The sequence below is a fragment of the Homo sapiens genome, chromosome 14 (genome assembly GCF_000001405.40).
Source record: "Homo sapiens chromosome 14, GRCh38.p14 Primary Assembly".
NCBI classification, from domain to species: domain Eukaryota; kingdom Metazoa; phylum Chordata; class Mammalia; order Primates; family Hominidae; genus Homo; species Homo sapiens.
This window is the reverse complement of record NC_000014.9, coordinates 24,029,466-24,045,317: the sequence shown is the minus strand read 5'-3', so window position 1 is coordinate 24,045,317 and position 15,852 is coordinate 24,029,466. Positions and strand designations below refer to the sequence as shown.

The 15,852-nt window shown below is 45.9% G+C and overlaps 1 pseudogene across 8 annotated transcripts in view, besides 2 other annotated features; it reads right to left on the bottom strand.

Annotated features, from left to right (window-relative positions):
• DHRS4L1 (dehydrogenase/reductase 4 like 1 (pseudogene)) overlaps positions 1 to 15,852 on the bottom strand; it is a 44,294-nt pseudogene that overhangs the window by 6,060 nt on the left and 22,382 nt on the right. For 3 of the 8 annotated variants that reach the window (NR_102693.2, NR_102692.2, NR_102694.2), the window contains exons 1-2: positions 8,690 to 8,873; positions 6,734 to 6,994 (exon numbers count right to left, since the gene is read on the bottom strand). The exons of 1 other annotated variant lie outside the window; for it this stretch is intronic. The product of NR_102693.2 is annotated as a dehydrogenase/reductase 4 like 1 (pseudogene), transcript variant 5 (transcript). Of the gene's footprint in view, positions 1 to 6,733; positions 6,995 to 7,310; positions 7,576 to 8,689; positions 8,874 to 15,852 lie in introns of those variants that run through there. 4 more of the 8 variants (NR_102689.2, NR_171045.1, NR_102688.2 and 1 more) reach the window with 4 other exon arrangements.
• Positions 8,388 to 8,477: an enhancer, noted in NCBI's record as "active region_8183". NCBI's record gives its function as "activates an Ori minimal core promoter by ATAC-STARR-seq in GM12878 lymphoblastoid cells {active_cell/tissue: GM12878}" and the evidence as "EXISTENCE:reporter gene assay evidence [ECO:0000049][PMID:35858748]".
• Positions 8,928 to 9,067: a silencer, noted in NCBI's record as "silent region_5616". NCBI's record gives its function as "represses an Ori minimal core promoter by ATAC-STARR-seq in GM12878 lymphoblastoid cells {active_cell/tissue: GM12878}" and the evidence as "EXISTENCE:reporter gene assay evidence [ECO:0000049][PMID:35858748]".

Genomic DNA, 15,852 nt, shown 5'->3' with positions numbered 1-15,852 from the left:
CACAGCCACCCCAGCCTTCAGCAACACCACCCTAAGTCAGCCACCATCAATGTTGAGGCAAGACCCTCTAAGGCCGGATGTGGTGGCTCACGCCTGTAATCCTAGCACTTTGGGAAACCGAGGCGGGTGAATCACGAGGTCAGGAGATTGAGACCATCCTGGCTAACACGGTGAAACCCCGTCTCTACTAAAAATACAAAAAATTAGCTGGGTGTGGTGGCGGGTGCCTATAGTCCCAGCTACTCAGGAGGCTGAGGCAGGAGAATCGCTTGAACCTGGGAGGCGGAGGTTGCAGTGAGCCGAGATGGTGCCATTGCACTCCAGCCTGGGCTACACAGTGAGACTCCATCTAAAAAAAAAAAAAAAAAAAGACCCTCCACCAGCAAAAAGATTACAACTTCTAAAGGCTCAGATCATTGTTAGCACTTTTTAGCAATAAAGTATTTTAAAATTAAGATATGTATATATTTTTAAAGACATAATGCTATTGCTCATTTAATAGACAACCATTAGATGACCATTATAGTGTAAACGTAACTTTTATATGCACTGGGAAACCAAAAAATTCGTGTGTCTCACTTTATTATAATATTCACTTTATTGTGCGGTGGCCTGGAACCAGACCCACAATATCTCCGAGGTGTGCCTGTACTTAGTTTAAAACTGACTTTCATAGGGTCTCTATTCAGACTGTTCATGAAAGATGTTCCTCCATTGTAAAGACTATCAGAATCTGTCTGGGTGCAGTGGCTCACGCCTATAATCCCAGCACTTTGAGAGGCCGAGGTGGGTGGATCAGTTGAGGCCAGGAATTTGAGACCAGCCTGGGCAACACAGTGAAACCCTGTCTCTACTGAAAATATCAAAAATTAGCCGGGCATGGTGGCACATGCCTGTAGTCCCAGGTACTTGGCAGGCTGAGGCACAAGAATCGCTTGAACCTGGGAGGCGGGGGTTGCAGTGAGCTAGATCGCAGCACTGCACTCCAGCCTCGATGACACAGCGAGGAAAAAAAAAAAAAGAGGGACAAAGCTTAACAATAAAAAACTAGCTCACTGAAGAACATTTTGGCACTTTGGTCTTTATGTGTATGAAACACTGGTAAATAAATCATAGTGTTTTCACATCCTGATACTTTAGTGTTGAGAAATGTTTGATGACATCTGATATAGTTGGTATGTTTGTCCCCTCTAAGTCCCATGTTGAAATGTGATCACCAGTGTTCAAGGTGGAACCTGGTGTGAGGTGTTTGGGTCATGGGGTGGATCCCTTATGAATGGCTTGGTGCTCTCCTGGTGGCAATTAGTGAGCTCTCACTCTATTAGTTCATGCCAGAGCTAGTTGTTTAAAAGCCTGGTATCTCACTTCCTCTCTTGCCATGTAACGCGCCTGCTCCCTTTTGCCTTCTGCTATGATTGTAAGCTTCCTGAGGCCTCATCAGAAGCAGATACTGGCACCATGCTTCTTCTGCAGTCTGCAGAAGTGTAAACCAAAACAACCCTCTTTTCTTTTCTTTTTTTTTTTTTTTTGAGACGGAGTCTCGCTCTGTCACCCAGGCTGGAGTGCAGTGGCGCAATCTCGGCTCACTGCAAGCTCCGCCTCCCGGGTTCACACCATTCTCCTGCCTCAGCCTCCCAAGTAGCTGAGACTACAGGTGCCCGCCACCACACCCGGCTGATTTTTTGTATTTTTAGTAGAGACGGGCTTTCACCATGTTAGCCAAGATGGTCTCGATCTCCTGACCTCGTGATCTGCCCGCCTCGACCTCCCAAAGTGTTGGGATTACAGGCGTTAGCCACCGCGCCCGGCCACAACCCTCTTTTTCTTTATAAATTGCCCAGCTCAGGTATTCCTTTATAGCAACGCAAAACAGACTAATACAACATCAGAGTAAAAAGCAAAACCATGGGAGATCATAAAAAATTAGCATTTCCAAATCGTGGGACTATTAACCTTAGTATACAAAGACAAATATTTTAATTAAAGCTTTGTAATTAAAGAATGTGTGTGAAATATATTACGAATGTAATGTAATTATATACTTACACATAAAACCCAATATTGTACCACTTGAATATAGACATCTGGATCTCAGATTTTCTTGACATTGCAGTTAGGAAGAAAATAATATAGGTTTTTATTTTTACTTTTTTAAAGGATGTATATTATAAAGTGGCAACTGGTTATTTCACCAGAATTAGTATTTTACTTAACTAGCAGCTTTTAATATTTCCCAGCTAATGAAAAATGATTCCTTTTTGGCAGCTGAAAGGGGGACAGTTGGGTGTGTAAGTTTAAGTGTCATAGTTGTTGGCATATTAGCTGCCACGTCTCTGTTGGAAATCAACCAGGTAGCAGAGCATGCCGGGAAGAAGGCTGGGGAGGGGAGCAGACGGTGGATAGTGAAGGGCAGATGGAAGCAGACAGAAGTAGGAGCAGCAGAAACGAATGAGAAGGGCAGGGACAGAGGAAGCTGCCCCCACCCGCCCTTTACCAGGTGTGCTCCAGGTGTGTGGCATGTGGCAAAGACTCCTCACATTTACACTGCACTTGATAAACACATTCTAAAAGCAGACGGAGTTTGTTATCGATAGTGATAGGATATCAATAACTCCATGAAGCTTCATAGCCTAGGGAGAGGGGTAAGGTCTGGACCAGGGCTGCAGTAAGTAAGGGAGGTGCATTTATTCACGTTGATAAAAACTTCCTTCTGGGCGGGGCGTGGTGGCTCACGCCGGGAATCATGGCACTTTGGGAGGTCACGGTGGGAGGACCACTTGAACTGAGCAGTTTGAGAGAAGCCTGGGCAACATAGGGAGACCTTATCCCTATATTTAAAAAAACAACAACAATGACAACAACAACAACAACAAATCTTCCTTCTTAGGAACTATCGTCAAAATAACTTCTATTTCTTAAAACATCTTTTTTGAAAACTACCCTAAGATCTGCTGCTAACCATTTAAGGTTGGCTTCTTTCTTTTTTTAGATGGAGTCTTCCTCTGTCACCCAGGCTGGAGTTCAGTGGCATGATCCCAGCTCACTGCAGCCTTGACCTACTGGGTTCAAGCCATCCTCCTGCCTCAGCCCCCCAAGTAGCTGAGAATACAGGTGCGTGCCATCACACCTGGGCAATTTTTGTACTTTTTGTAGAGACAGGGTCTTGCCATGTTGCCCAGGCTGGTCTGGAACTCCTGAGCTAAAGCCATCCGCCTGCCTCGGCCTCTCAAAGTGTTACAGGTGTGAGCCACCAGGAAGTTGGCCTTATTTCTTTTGCAGTGTTTTCTTCCCACCTCCTATTCTTCTAAGGCTGTCTCTGACCCTATGCTCTTTTCTTTACATTTTCCCATTTGGGAGCTCCTTCATTCTCGTGATTTCAAATCTCACCCCAAAATCTATTTCCAGACCCCTCCTCTTCCTTTCACACTGAGTTCCACCCACATTTCTCCAAGTGCTTACTGTCCAGTTCTTCTTGAATAAGTTACCATTATTTCAAAGTCAATCTGGCCACACTTACCTGAATGGAAAAACTGGCTTAAATAGAGCTGTAGAAAGTTACCCTGGAGGGGCCTTTGAGATCATCTATTCCAATGTCCTTAAGGTGGAGATGATGAAACAGGTTCAGGGAATTTTCTCAAGATCATATAGTTCAGTAGTAACACACTGGGGCTAGCTAAGAACAGGAGGCCTGCTTATTCCGTGTTGGGGAAAGTGATTTGTTCAGGGCATAAAGCTAGTTAGTGGTGGAAGAACTGAGGTCAGTCTCCCACTTTGTAGCACAGAGCTAATTCGTAAGAGCCCTCTGAAAGTGAGCTGGGGTCATTAGGAAACCGGCTGCCCAGGAGAGCCATGATGGGAGAAGATACCAGCCTGAATTTAAAGCAATTCCATATTTGGTTATGATGTCATTTTCCCTGTCTCTGTCTCTCTCTTTTGACCTGGAGGCATGAAAGATTCAAGGCAGAAAGGGAAATTTAAACTGAGAAAGCCAAGAAAGGCAACATCTCACCTCCTTAATAAGTTATAAGTAGGTAGTGAGGCATGTGCTAGAGTAATGAATGGCCAAGCAGAATCTGCCAACAAGGGTTTTCAGTACAAAGCCACCCTGAAACCAGACTTTGCATTTGCCTGGAACTGGCAATTTTGATGCCTTGGGCAAGTAGCAGTACATGGGCCCTTGGTCAATTTTGTGCTCCGGATTTGGCCCACGGAGGGGTGTTATTAACAATGTACACCATCTGCTAGCTTCCCATTTTAACTAATTATTCTTGTTAACTAGGTGCTAACCTTCAACACAGTTGAAGAAATGCCTGGGCTGTCAACGTGTAAATCTAACAAAATTTAAAGTCAAGTACTCTTTTAAAACCAGTATGAATACTTTCTTGCACCCTTTAAATTTTGGTATCCTGGCACAAAGCCAAGTCACCTGCCTTGGCTCTGTGTAAGTCTCACCAATGTACTTGTTACTAGGGAGGTGCAGAATAAGTTAATAAGTGATGTGTGCTGTGCTCAGTGCACGTGTGTTTGGGCTGGGAGAAGACAGTGGATTGCTCCAGAATCACCTGGAGACATTTTCTACTCTGCTGCATACCCCATGCCCCTCTACTTCCAGGTCTGTCAGCACAGAGATGGGAGGAGGCTGGGTTTTGAATGAACAGAGACAGCAAACCATAAAAGATGAATGAGGCTGGGTGTGGTGGCTCACACCTATAATCCTAGCACTTTGGTACGGCCAGTAGGGAGGACCGCTTGAGGCCAGGAGTTCAAAACCAGCCTGGGCAATAAAGCCCCAACTCTACAACAAATTTAAAAGATGAACTGGCGTGGTGGTGCATGCCTATAATCTTAGCCACTTGGGAGGCTGACGGGGGAGGACTGCTTGAGCTCAAGAGTTGGAGGTTACAGTGAGCTATGATCATGCCACTGCACTCCAGCCTGGGCAACAGAGTGAGGCCCTGTCTCTGGGGGGAAAAGAAAAAGATGTCTTCTAAGTGTTCTAAATTGTGTGATCACTACACTAAAGTGGTTAGGAGCTGTTTGTTCTGTGTTCTGATAGTTATACATTTTTAAGAAAAAATATAATCAAGCAGATAGGCAGCTACTCTGGTTTCCACTTACAACACCAGTGAGAAGCTTCGTGGTGTGCAGATGAGGAGGCCACTGGGTAGTATCCATTCTCAGGGCAGTGGCTTTTCTCATTGCAGGGTAACATGTGACAACTGGCAGAAGACATTTCAAATTGCTGACAAGTATTCTATCATTCTCCTCTCTGACAATGGTCATACAAACTACCTGAGAGTCATTTTTGACTTCTCTATTTCCCACTTTTTGACATGGGGTTGGAAAATCTTGGTTCGTTTCCACTGAATGTCTCTTGGGCACATCTATTCCAGTCCCACCGCCACTGCTCTAAACCTGGACGACAGCAACAGCTTCCTCACTGATGCCCTGGATTTGGTGTCTCCTCTGTATATCCTTCCTACCAGAGCCAGATTAGCTTTCCTAATAACCATCTTTCTCTTGCTCAAAACCTCACATGGCTTCTTATTTGCTACAAGAGTGTGTAAACATATCCTTTTAAGAGGCTATATCCTTTTAAGGTCCTTAACGTATCCTTTTAAGAAGCTATGGCCGGGCGCAGTGGCTCACGCCTGTAATCCCAGCACTTTGGGAGGCTGAGTGGGTGGATCACCTGAGGTCAGGAGTTCAAGACCAGCCTGGCCAACATGGTGAAACCCCGTCTCTACTAAAAATACAAAAATTAGCTGGGCATGGTGGTGGGCACCTGTAATCCCAGCTACTCAGGAGGCTGAGGCAGGAGAATTGCTTGAACCTGGGAGGCAGAGGTTGCAGTAAGCCGAGATGGTGCCACTGTACTCCAGCCTAGGCGACAAGAGTGAAACTCCGTCACAAAAAAAAAAAAAAAAAAAAAAAAAAAAAAAAAAAAAAGATATGGAGGCCCATGGCCTCTATCTTTCCAATGCAGCCCCTTCCCCAGCAGTACTCCTGAGCCTGTGCTCTCCATTGTGGCCTGACAGTGCTCCTCTCTTTCCTTCAGTTCCTCCTTGGCTGTCTGCTCATTTTGCAGAGTTATCTGGAACCTCGTCACTATTCCATCTGTCCATTCCCATCCATTCCTTAAGGTTTAGCTCAAGTACCACCTCTGGGCCAGGCCTGTAGGCCATGTTAAGTGAACCTGGTGGGGGCCACAGGATGTTTTCCCAACAGGGTTTTCACATTACATTGCTACTTACATGTGATATGGTTAGTCACTAATTGACCCAGACTCCCAAACGGCTCCTTCCACCATCAGGATCAAGGCCCCAATCTTGGGCTCTGTCCACCAGCCTAGGCCAGGCAAGGTGACTTTCTAGGACTCACATTTGGCTCTTTCCAATGCACATTTGAGCATTTGCCAGACAGTTCCTTAAAAACGGAATTACCCTATACTGTCTACCATGCTACTGTCTACTATTGCTTAAGATCCTCCTCTTCTAAGATTATGCAAATTATTTCTGCCAACCTTCCAATCTGTTAGCACAACCCTGTACTTTCCATTTTTGGGTAGATTCTCCCTTCCACTCTGGAAAATAAAGTGTGTATCCTGAGCCTCAAGGGAAGAGGAGCTTGCTTTGCTGGATGGTTCATATTTCCTTCGGCAGCTGGAAGGCTGGTATCCACTACTAACTGTGACACTGACTTATATACTTTCTTTGAGACTAAAGTCCAGTACCTGGTAGTCCACAGGCAGCCAATAAAGGAAGGGAGCTTGGGAGGTCTGGGTCTTTCCTTACTGGCTGTGGGACCTTGGGAAGTTGCTCCAGCTATCTGAGCCAGCGTCTGCAGACCGAGAGAATAGTCCTTGCCTTGCTTGGGTTGTTGTCAGGTCTAGAGATAACCTGTGTAAGGCTCTGAACACAGGAAATGGCACATAGTAAGTGGTTGAAACATGGTGGGCTGCTTCCTGAAGTTCCCAGGGACTTGACTCTGTAAGCTGAAGAAGAGGGGAATGTTTATTAGCTCATGGGTGGGAACATCTATTTTGTGATTGTATTTACCCTTCTCATCTGTCCAGTTAGGTTGAAAATTACTGGAGAACCAGTACCAGCGGTTTCTTTGGGGTATGCAAGGGATGATGCAGGGTTGAAGCATTAGAATGTTTTAACATTCTCTGATTGGGATGGGATTATTCTCCAACTTTAATATATGGACATAATAGAAAGGCACACAATAAAAACGTGCTGGTGGGCTGGTTGGGTATGCAGAACACACTGTTATGTTTTAGTTAACATCACTGCGTTGGATCTCACCAATGCTGTCCAGGAAAGCAGGGAAGGAGGCTCAGGCTGGCTCCCTTTTCCACCTCCTGGCTCTGTGCCCATTTCCCTGCAGCTCACTGTGGCCACCAGCCGCTCCCAGTCCTTCATCTTCCCCACATGGCACACAGTGCCCGTCATGCTCAGCCCCTCCCCCTGCAGCGTGGCCACTGCCTGGTCCACATTCTGCTGCTTCCGGCGGCTGACTACCACGTGGGCCCCGTCTTGGGCCAGACGCTGGGCGACGGCGAAGCCGATCCTGTGAGCAGAGACAAAGACTGCTAAGGCTTGTGCAGGGGAAGAGATGGACAGCATGGGCTCTGAAGTTAGACTGCCCGGTTTTGAATTCTGGCTCTTTCTCTATATGACCTCCATGTGTCTCTACTACGTGTAAAACAGGCTTAATGGCACAGCCATTTTTGGCGTTCCTTTACTTATTTTTATTATCATCTTGGACTGCAGCCTCAGTTCCCAAGAACTGACATCACTTTCTACAGTTCCCACCATGGGTGACAGGCTTCATCCCCTCTTGGGACTGAGAGGTGAGAAATGAGCTGGGTTTGCAGCAGCAGCCACTTCCGTGATTTGAGGGTCTCACTCAGAACAGCCCTGCCTCCAGGTTTCTTTCTTACTAGTCTACATCATTCTGAAAATTCTATCCTTAATTATTTTTTGGGGTGCATGTGAAAAGATGGTCTCCGGTCAAAAATGTAAATATTGCCTTGGGAGGAAGAGTTACACATTTTGCACTTGTCAGCCATTAGCATTTTACCTACATTTGTATTTTAGTTTTGTGAAGAGTTGGCATCTAGCAAAGTCCTGTAGAAATGAGAACCAGGACTGAGAAGAGAGGTGGGTGAGAAACAGGCTGGCGAAGGTCGGCCCAGATGTACCGACCTAAACAAAAATCTCGACACTTGGCTCTGGTGTCCCATCTAGGTAAGGGGGAGGGGTTCCGGGAGACTTTCCGGTGCCCAAATAGAATGTCTGGTACATTTTCAAAGTGCTGGAGGCCTTGGGATATGATTTTGAAATCCAGATTCCCTTGGATTTCTAGTTTCTGGTCTTCCCGGACGCTAGGTGGTGCTGGTTGACGGGGGCAGCCCAGAACACTGGGGGGACTAGATCGATGGGACTTCACAGAGGAGGCACAGTTGTGCCAGAGGCAGCAGGGACACGAAGGCAGGCAAGGGAGGGTCCAGGGCCAGGGGATTCGGAGGGGCTTCGGGCGGACCACGTGGCTACTTCTTTTCCATGGCCAGACTTTGGCGGTATGTGAGGTCTGAGGACAGGGGCACTGGAGGCAAAGGACGAGACACCAGTGCCTGTTTCCAGGCAGCCAGGGCCTCAGAAACTCCGGCACCAACACTCACCAGTCGGTGGAGGCCGTTACCAGGGCCACCTTATTTGTGAGCGGGTCCCGGCGGGTCATCCCGGAGCTGGCCAACCGCACCGACTTCCCTGCCCGGGCACAGTGGCCTCGTAGCCGCGCCTTGTGCATGGATCAGACCAGCAAGTCTGGGTTCCACTCCTTCCAGCGAGGTGACAGAGTAGGGCGAAGGGGCAGGACGAAGGGCGGGCCGCTTCCCTGCCTGCTCCCTCCCCGCCCTCAGCCAGCTGGGAGTCGTCTGTGGCGGTTGGCGCCTCCCGCCGCCCGCCGCCCGCCAGTCGCCGCGCCCCGCAGCCAGCTACCTTCCGCCTGACTGGGGCTTGCCTTCCCGGGCTGGCGGGTGATCAAAGCGCTCTCCGTTCAAGTTGCCTGTAGGGCTCGCCCCTCCCCTGGCCCCCGCAGGAACCCGCAGCCTTTGGCTGCTGCCTTTCTGCATCTGCTTGCCCACCTTTTCTTCTTGGGGAAGTGGGGGTTTTGAGTTGGTTGCTTTTGCTTCTTCAGAATTCCTTCTCCAAGAAAGTCTGGGTCTATGTATGTGACAGCCCACAGGAGGGCAAATGTTTTGAGACTGCCCATGGAGGTGAGGCCTGTGGTCCCCATGGAGTCCACCAGGTGAGGCTGGAGCAGCCTGGGAGAGAGACGTGATAGGGAGTAGCTGCACCAGGCCTGGCACTGCCCTTCCCTCTGCCCAAGGTCTCCATGTTGCAGACAATGATCATTGGCCAAACAGGATCTCATATCCCTCGCCAAAGGGACTTCCTCCTTTACAGGGGCTAAGTGGTAGCGAGGAGGCTGGACAGTCCCTCAAGCAGTGGTGGAAATGCAAAGAACTCGGGGCACTCAAGTTCTCCCTAACCACTCTGTCCCCAGGTCTTAGCCTCCATCCTAGTTCAATAAATATTTGTTGAATGCAAAATCTCTTTATGAACTGTAAGCTACTAAGCACATAGTAGTTACTGCCACCATGTAGTGATTATTATTGGTGCCCTGGGCCAGACTCTTCATCTGTAAATTACTGAGGGTATGGAGTAGATGATGAATAAAGTCCTTGCCAGCTATAAATTCTGTGTCCAAGACTTCAGTCTCCACTTCTGCCAAGTGGGCTGAAATGATCTCCCTCCTGGGTTTCCGGGAGAATGAATAAATATGGATGGCTTATGGTACACTGTAGAAAGGCCCCAACAGACCCAAATGTAAGCATCTGAATTAGTTTAACCCACTGGCCTCCTAAGCCAGACTGAGAAGCAGTGCTGGTTCATGGCAGCGTTTTCATTAGTTCAAAGCAAAATGAGAAAAGGAAACAATTACAGTGAGTTTCATAAAGCTAAGCTTATTTAACAGTCCTTTATTGTGGAGTATACGTTTGCTTCTTTTTTTGTGTGTTAGTGTTTTCTTTTAGAAAAGATGATGAAAGCAGATGGGTAGGTTTGGAGATGTGTTGTTGGTGAAATCACCAGTTTTGCAGCCTTATGCCAGTCCCTACAATTAGAGGGGAAAGAATCCTGGTTTGTAAAATCCAGTTCTAGGCATGACTTTTGAATAGAATTCATGTTTGCTCAAGATTCATTTAGTGTATGTGCAGGTCAGCTGAGCAGCTGAAAAAGGATTTCAACATTCAGCAGGGCGTGGTGGCTCACCCTGTAATCCCAGCACTTTGGGAGGCCGAGGCAGGTGGATCACAAGGTCAGGAGATCAAGTCCATCCTGGCTAACACGATGAAACCGGTCTCTACTAAAAATACAAAAAATTATCCGGGCGTGGTGGCATGTGCATGTAGTCGCAGCTACTCGGGAGGCTGAGGCAGGAGAATGGCATGAACCCGGGATGCGGAGCTTGCAGTGAGCCGAGATCATGCCACTGCACTCCAGCCTGACCGACAGATGGAGACTCTGTCTCAAAAAAAAAAAAAAAAAAGGGTTTCGACATTCAAACGGTGGCGTATAGTGAGCAAGTAATAGGACGGCCTGCACTGTATTGATAGTGTTTTCCTCAGCCAAGAAGTTACAGCTGCAGTACTCTGCTTTGCTACTCAGCACATCCCGATGAGACAGGAGAGCTTAAGTATCATTTTCCCCATGTCCAGGGAAAACTGACTCTGACTGGTGCTCCTTAGTTTGAGCCTCATGAACTATTGACAGAGGCTGGAAGCACCACACTCCTTGTCCTCTTGCACTGTTTGGAGCTAATGCACTGTGGGAACCTTTACCAGGGCTCTCCATCTGTGTGTGGCGCTGGGGTGGGGGTACACAGGAGGACGGCTGTGGGGGTTCTCAAGGCTTGGTTCAAACGGACAGGCCTGCAGGGGGCGTTTGATCTCTCTTCCCCTTCTCTTCAGAGGTAGACACGGCCACTGAGGGGCTGAGGGTTGCAGGAAGGTGAGCAAGACTATACTTCAAAGAGCAAAGGATTCTGGGAAAAGAGAATTGTGGCTTGGGAGCTTGGTGAACATCACATGGCCCTCCCTTGTGTGGGCAGGGTTGCTATTGGGCCTCCAGCCTATTTCTTTTGCGGAGAGCACAGGGGACATTAGGGAGGGGGCCTGTGAGCAGAAAAGGATAGAAGGAAGTCAAGAAGTGTGGGAATCTCTAGCACTACTCCTCATCAAGCTGGCTTATTGGAGATAAGAGCAGGAAATCTTGGTCCGGGCATGGTGGCTCATGCCTGTAATCCCAGCACTTTAGGAGGCTGAGGTGGGCAGATCACTTGAGGTCAGGAGTTTGAGACCAGCTGGCCAATATGCTGAAACCTAGTCTCTACTGAAAATACAAAAATTAGCCGGGTGTGGTCAGGAGCTCAAGACCAGCCTGGCCAACATGGTGAAAACCTGTCTTTACTAACAATACAAAAATTAGCTGGGCATGGTCAGGAGTTCGAGACTAGGCTGACCAACATGGTGAAACTCCATCTCTACTAAAAGTACAATAACTAGCCAGGCCTGGTGGCACGTGCCTGTAATCCCAGCTACTCAGAAGGCTGAGGCAGGAGTATTGCTTGAACCTGGGAGGCAGAGGTTGCAGTGAGCCTAGATCACACCACTGCACTCCAGCCTGGGCAATAGAATGAGAGACTCCATCTCAAAAAAAAAAAAAAAAAAAAAAAGAACAAGATATCCTTCAGGGAAATACATGCATATGTGGGAGTATCTCTTTGAAATGGGAACTGTAATAGGCAATGGGATTGTTCTTGTATGGAGGTGGTAACATCTGCCTATCTTGAGGGACAAATGCCTCCATGATTGAGGGCTCTACTCCCATCCTTTTCAAGGCCTGCCTGTGGTCCAGAAGAGAATTCACCTGGGGTGGAATTTAAGTCTTGCATTTTGCAATAGCTGTCCCAGATTCACTGCTGAGTCATGCATCACTGACACAAGTCAGGATTAGGCAATGTGGGAGGTCTGGTGTGGGGTTAGGACAACTGCCAGGCAGAGAAATAATAGTAACAGTGTTAACAGTATTTATTGAGCACTTCCTTACTAAGTGCTGGCAAGTGTTAAGTCCTTTTCAGAAATTTTACTGAATATTTTCAATCTGGTGAAATGGGTGTTTTAATGTAGGGAGCCAAAGGCCTGAGGGTTGTGACCAACTCAGCATTCCACTGAAGGCTGCATGATCAAACAGCAAACTGTTTATCATGAATGCAGAACGTGTACAAACTCACTTCTGCACCTGCTGCCAGAAGGTTTGCTGAGGGCAATCACTCCCTGGTGCTGTGCTCCTTGAGGTTATCTGCTGGAACATCTGGAGACTACTGTTCAAAGAATGCAGTCATGCAAGCCTGCACTAAGCCAAGCAGCTGACTGACAACCACCACCTTCTCCCTATCTCCTTTACTCAATAAATACGAAGGGCTGTAGAAGCTCAGCACCCTTGTTCACTAGAAGCAAGGAGCCTCCTGATCCTTTCTTCCAAATATACTCTTTTGCCTTTGTCTTTATTCCCACATTCATCTTGTTTTGTTCAGTCCATGAAGGACTGCGGCATTTTAAATTTTTTTTTTTTGAGACGGCATCTTGCTCTGTCACCAGGCTGGAGTGCAGTGGCACAATCTTGGCTCACTGCAACCTCTGCCTCCCAGGTTCAAGCAATTCTCCTGACTCAGCCTCCTGAGTAGCTAGGACTACAGTACCTGGTGAGCTAGCACAACACCTCACCCAACTAATTTTTGTATTTTTAGTAGAGACGAGGTTTCACCATTTTGGCCAGGATGGTCTCCATCTCGACCTAGTGATCTTCCTGCCTTGGCCTCCCAACGTGCTGGGATTACAGGTGTGAGCCACTGTGCCCAGTCGGGTGTTTTAAATTCTATATGTGAAATCAGAGTGAATGATGACAACCTCAATTACTGTTTGTGTTGTATAGTTACACTTCATTTTTCTCGCATTGTTGGGGAATTGATACTTTTCATAGAAATCAATTTTCTCTGAATTGGAATTTTAACTTTCAGGATCAGTGTGTTTTTCAAATCAACACATCTACTCATTAAATTATAACATGCTTATTATTTTAAAAAGGGATAGAAAGTTATGTGAAAACTGAAAGGTAACTCTTCCTTATGGTTCCTTTACCTTCTTCATATAGCTCTTGGCTTTGTGTATCCTTCCAGCAGTTTCTTATACATTTACATGCATTTTTCTTTTAAAAATTGTTTCACAAATGAGATGACACTATACATACTGTCCTTCAAATTGCTTTTCTTTTCTTTCTCCCATGCTCCAACCCCTCCTTTTTTATTTCTTTTAAATTTTTTTCTTTTTTTTAAATTATTATACTTTAAGTTCTGAGATACATGTGCAGAACTTGCAGGTTTGTTATATAGGTATAAATGAGCCATGGTGGTTTGCCACACCCATCAACCCATCCTCTACATTAAGTATTTTTTCTCATGCTATCTCTCCCCTAGCCCTCCACGCTCCAGACAGGCCCTGGTGTGTGATGTTCCCCTCCCTGTGTCCATGTGTTCTCATTGTTCTACTCCTACTTATTAGTGAAAACATGCAGTGTTTGGTTTTCTGTTTTTGTGTTAGTTTGTTGAGAATGATGGTTTCCAGTTTCATCCATGTCCATGCAAAGGACATGAACGCATCCTTTTTTATGGCTGCATAGTATTCCATGGTATGTATGTGCCACATTTTCTTTATCCAGTCTATCATTGATGGGCATTTGGGTTGGTTCCAAGTCTGTGTATTGTGAACAGTGCTGCAATAAACATATGTGTGCATGTATCTTTATGGTAGAATGATTTATAATCCTTTGGGTATATACCCAGTAATGGGATTGCTGGGTCAAATGGTATTTCTGGTTCTAGATCCTTGAGGAATGGCCACACTGTCTTCCACAGTGGTTGAACTAATTTACACTCTCACCAACAGTCTAAAAGCCTTCCTACTTCTCCACATCCTCTCCAGCATCTGTTGTTTCCTAACATTTTAATGATTGCCATTCTAACTGGTGTGAGATGGTATCTCACTGTGGTTTTGATTTGCATTTCTCTAATGAGCAGTGAGGGTGAGCTTTTTTCATTTTTGTTGGCTGCAGAAATGTTTTCTTTTCAGAAGGGTCTGTTGACATCCTTAGCTCACTTTTTGATGGGGTTGTTTGTTTTTTTCTTGTAAATTTGTTTAAGTATTTTTAGTCTGGATATTAGCCCATTGTCAGATGGATAGATTGCAAAAATTTTCTCCCATCTGTAGATGGCCTGTTCACTCTGATGAGATTCTTTTGCTGCACCGAAGCTCTTTAATTAGGTCCCATTTATCTATTTTGGCTTTTGTTGCCATTGCTTTTGGTGTTTTTGTCATGAAATCTTTGCCCATATTTATGTCCTGAATGGTATGGCCTCAGTTTTCTTTTAGGGTTTTTATGGTTTTAGGTCTTACGTTTAAGTCTTTTTTTTTTAATTATACTTTAAGTTTTAGGGTACATGTGCACAACGTGCACGTTAGTTACATAGGTATACATATGCCATGTTGGTGTGCTGCACCCATCAACTCGTCATTTAACATTAGGTGTATCTCCTAATGCTATCCTTCCCCCCTCCCCCCACCCCACAAGAGGCCCGGGTGTGTGATGTTCCTATTCCTGTGTCCTTGTGTTCTCATTGTTCAATTCCCACCCATGAGTGAGAACATGTGGTGTTTGGTTTTTTGTCCTTGTGACAGTTTGCTGAGAATGATGGTTTCTGGCTTCATCCATGTCCCTACAAAGGACATGAACTCATCATTTTTTATGGCTGCATAGTATTCCATGGTGTATATGTGCCACATTTTCTTAATCCAGTCTATCATTGTTGGACATTTGGCTTGGTTCCAAGTCTTTGCTATTGTGAATGGTGCCACAATAAACATACATGTGCATGTGTCTTTATAGCAGCATGATTTATAATCCCTTGGGTATATACCCAGTAATGGGATGGCTGGGTCAAATGGTATTTCTAGTTCTAGATCCCTGAGGAATCGCCACACTGACTTCCACAATGGTTGAACTAGTTTACAGTCCCACCAACAGTGTAAAAGTGTTCCTATTTCTCCACATCCTCTCCAGCACCTGTTGTTTCCTGACTTTTTAATGATCGCCATTCTAACTGGTGTGAGATGGTATCTCATTGTGGTTTTGATTTGCATTTCTCTGATGGCCAGTGATGATGAGCATTTTTTCATGTGTTTTTTGGGTGCATAAATGTCTTCTTTTGAGAAGTGTCTATTCATATCATTTGCCCACTTGTTGATGGTGTTGTTTGTTTTTTTCTTGTAAATTTGTTTGAGTTCATTGTAGATTCTGGATATTAGCCCTTTTGTCAGATGAGTAGATTGCAAAAATTTTCTCCCATTCTGTAGGTTGCCTGTTCACTCTGATGGTAGTTTCCCTTGCTGTGCGGAAGCTCTTTAGTTTAATTAGATCCCATTTGTCAATTTCGGCTTTTGTTGCCATTGCTTTCGGTGTTTTAGACATGAAGTCCTTGCCCATGCCTATGTCCTGAATGGTATTTCCTAGGTTTTCTTCTAGGGTTTTTATGGTTTTAGGTCTAACATTTAAGTCTCGAATCCATCTTGAATTAATTTTTGTATAAGGTGTAAGGAAGGGATCCACTTTCAGCTTTCTACGTATGGCTAGCCAGTTTTCCCAGCACCATTTATTAAATAGGGAATCC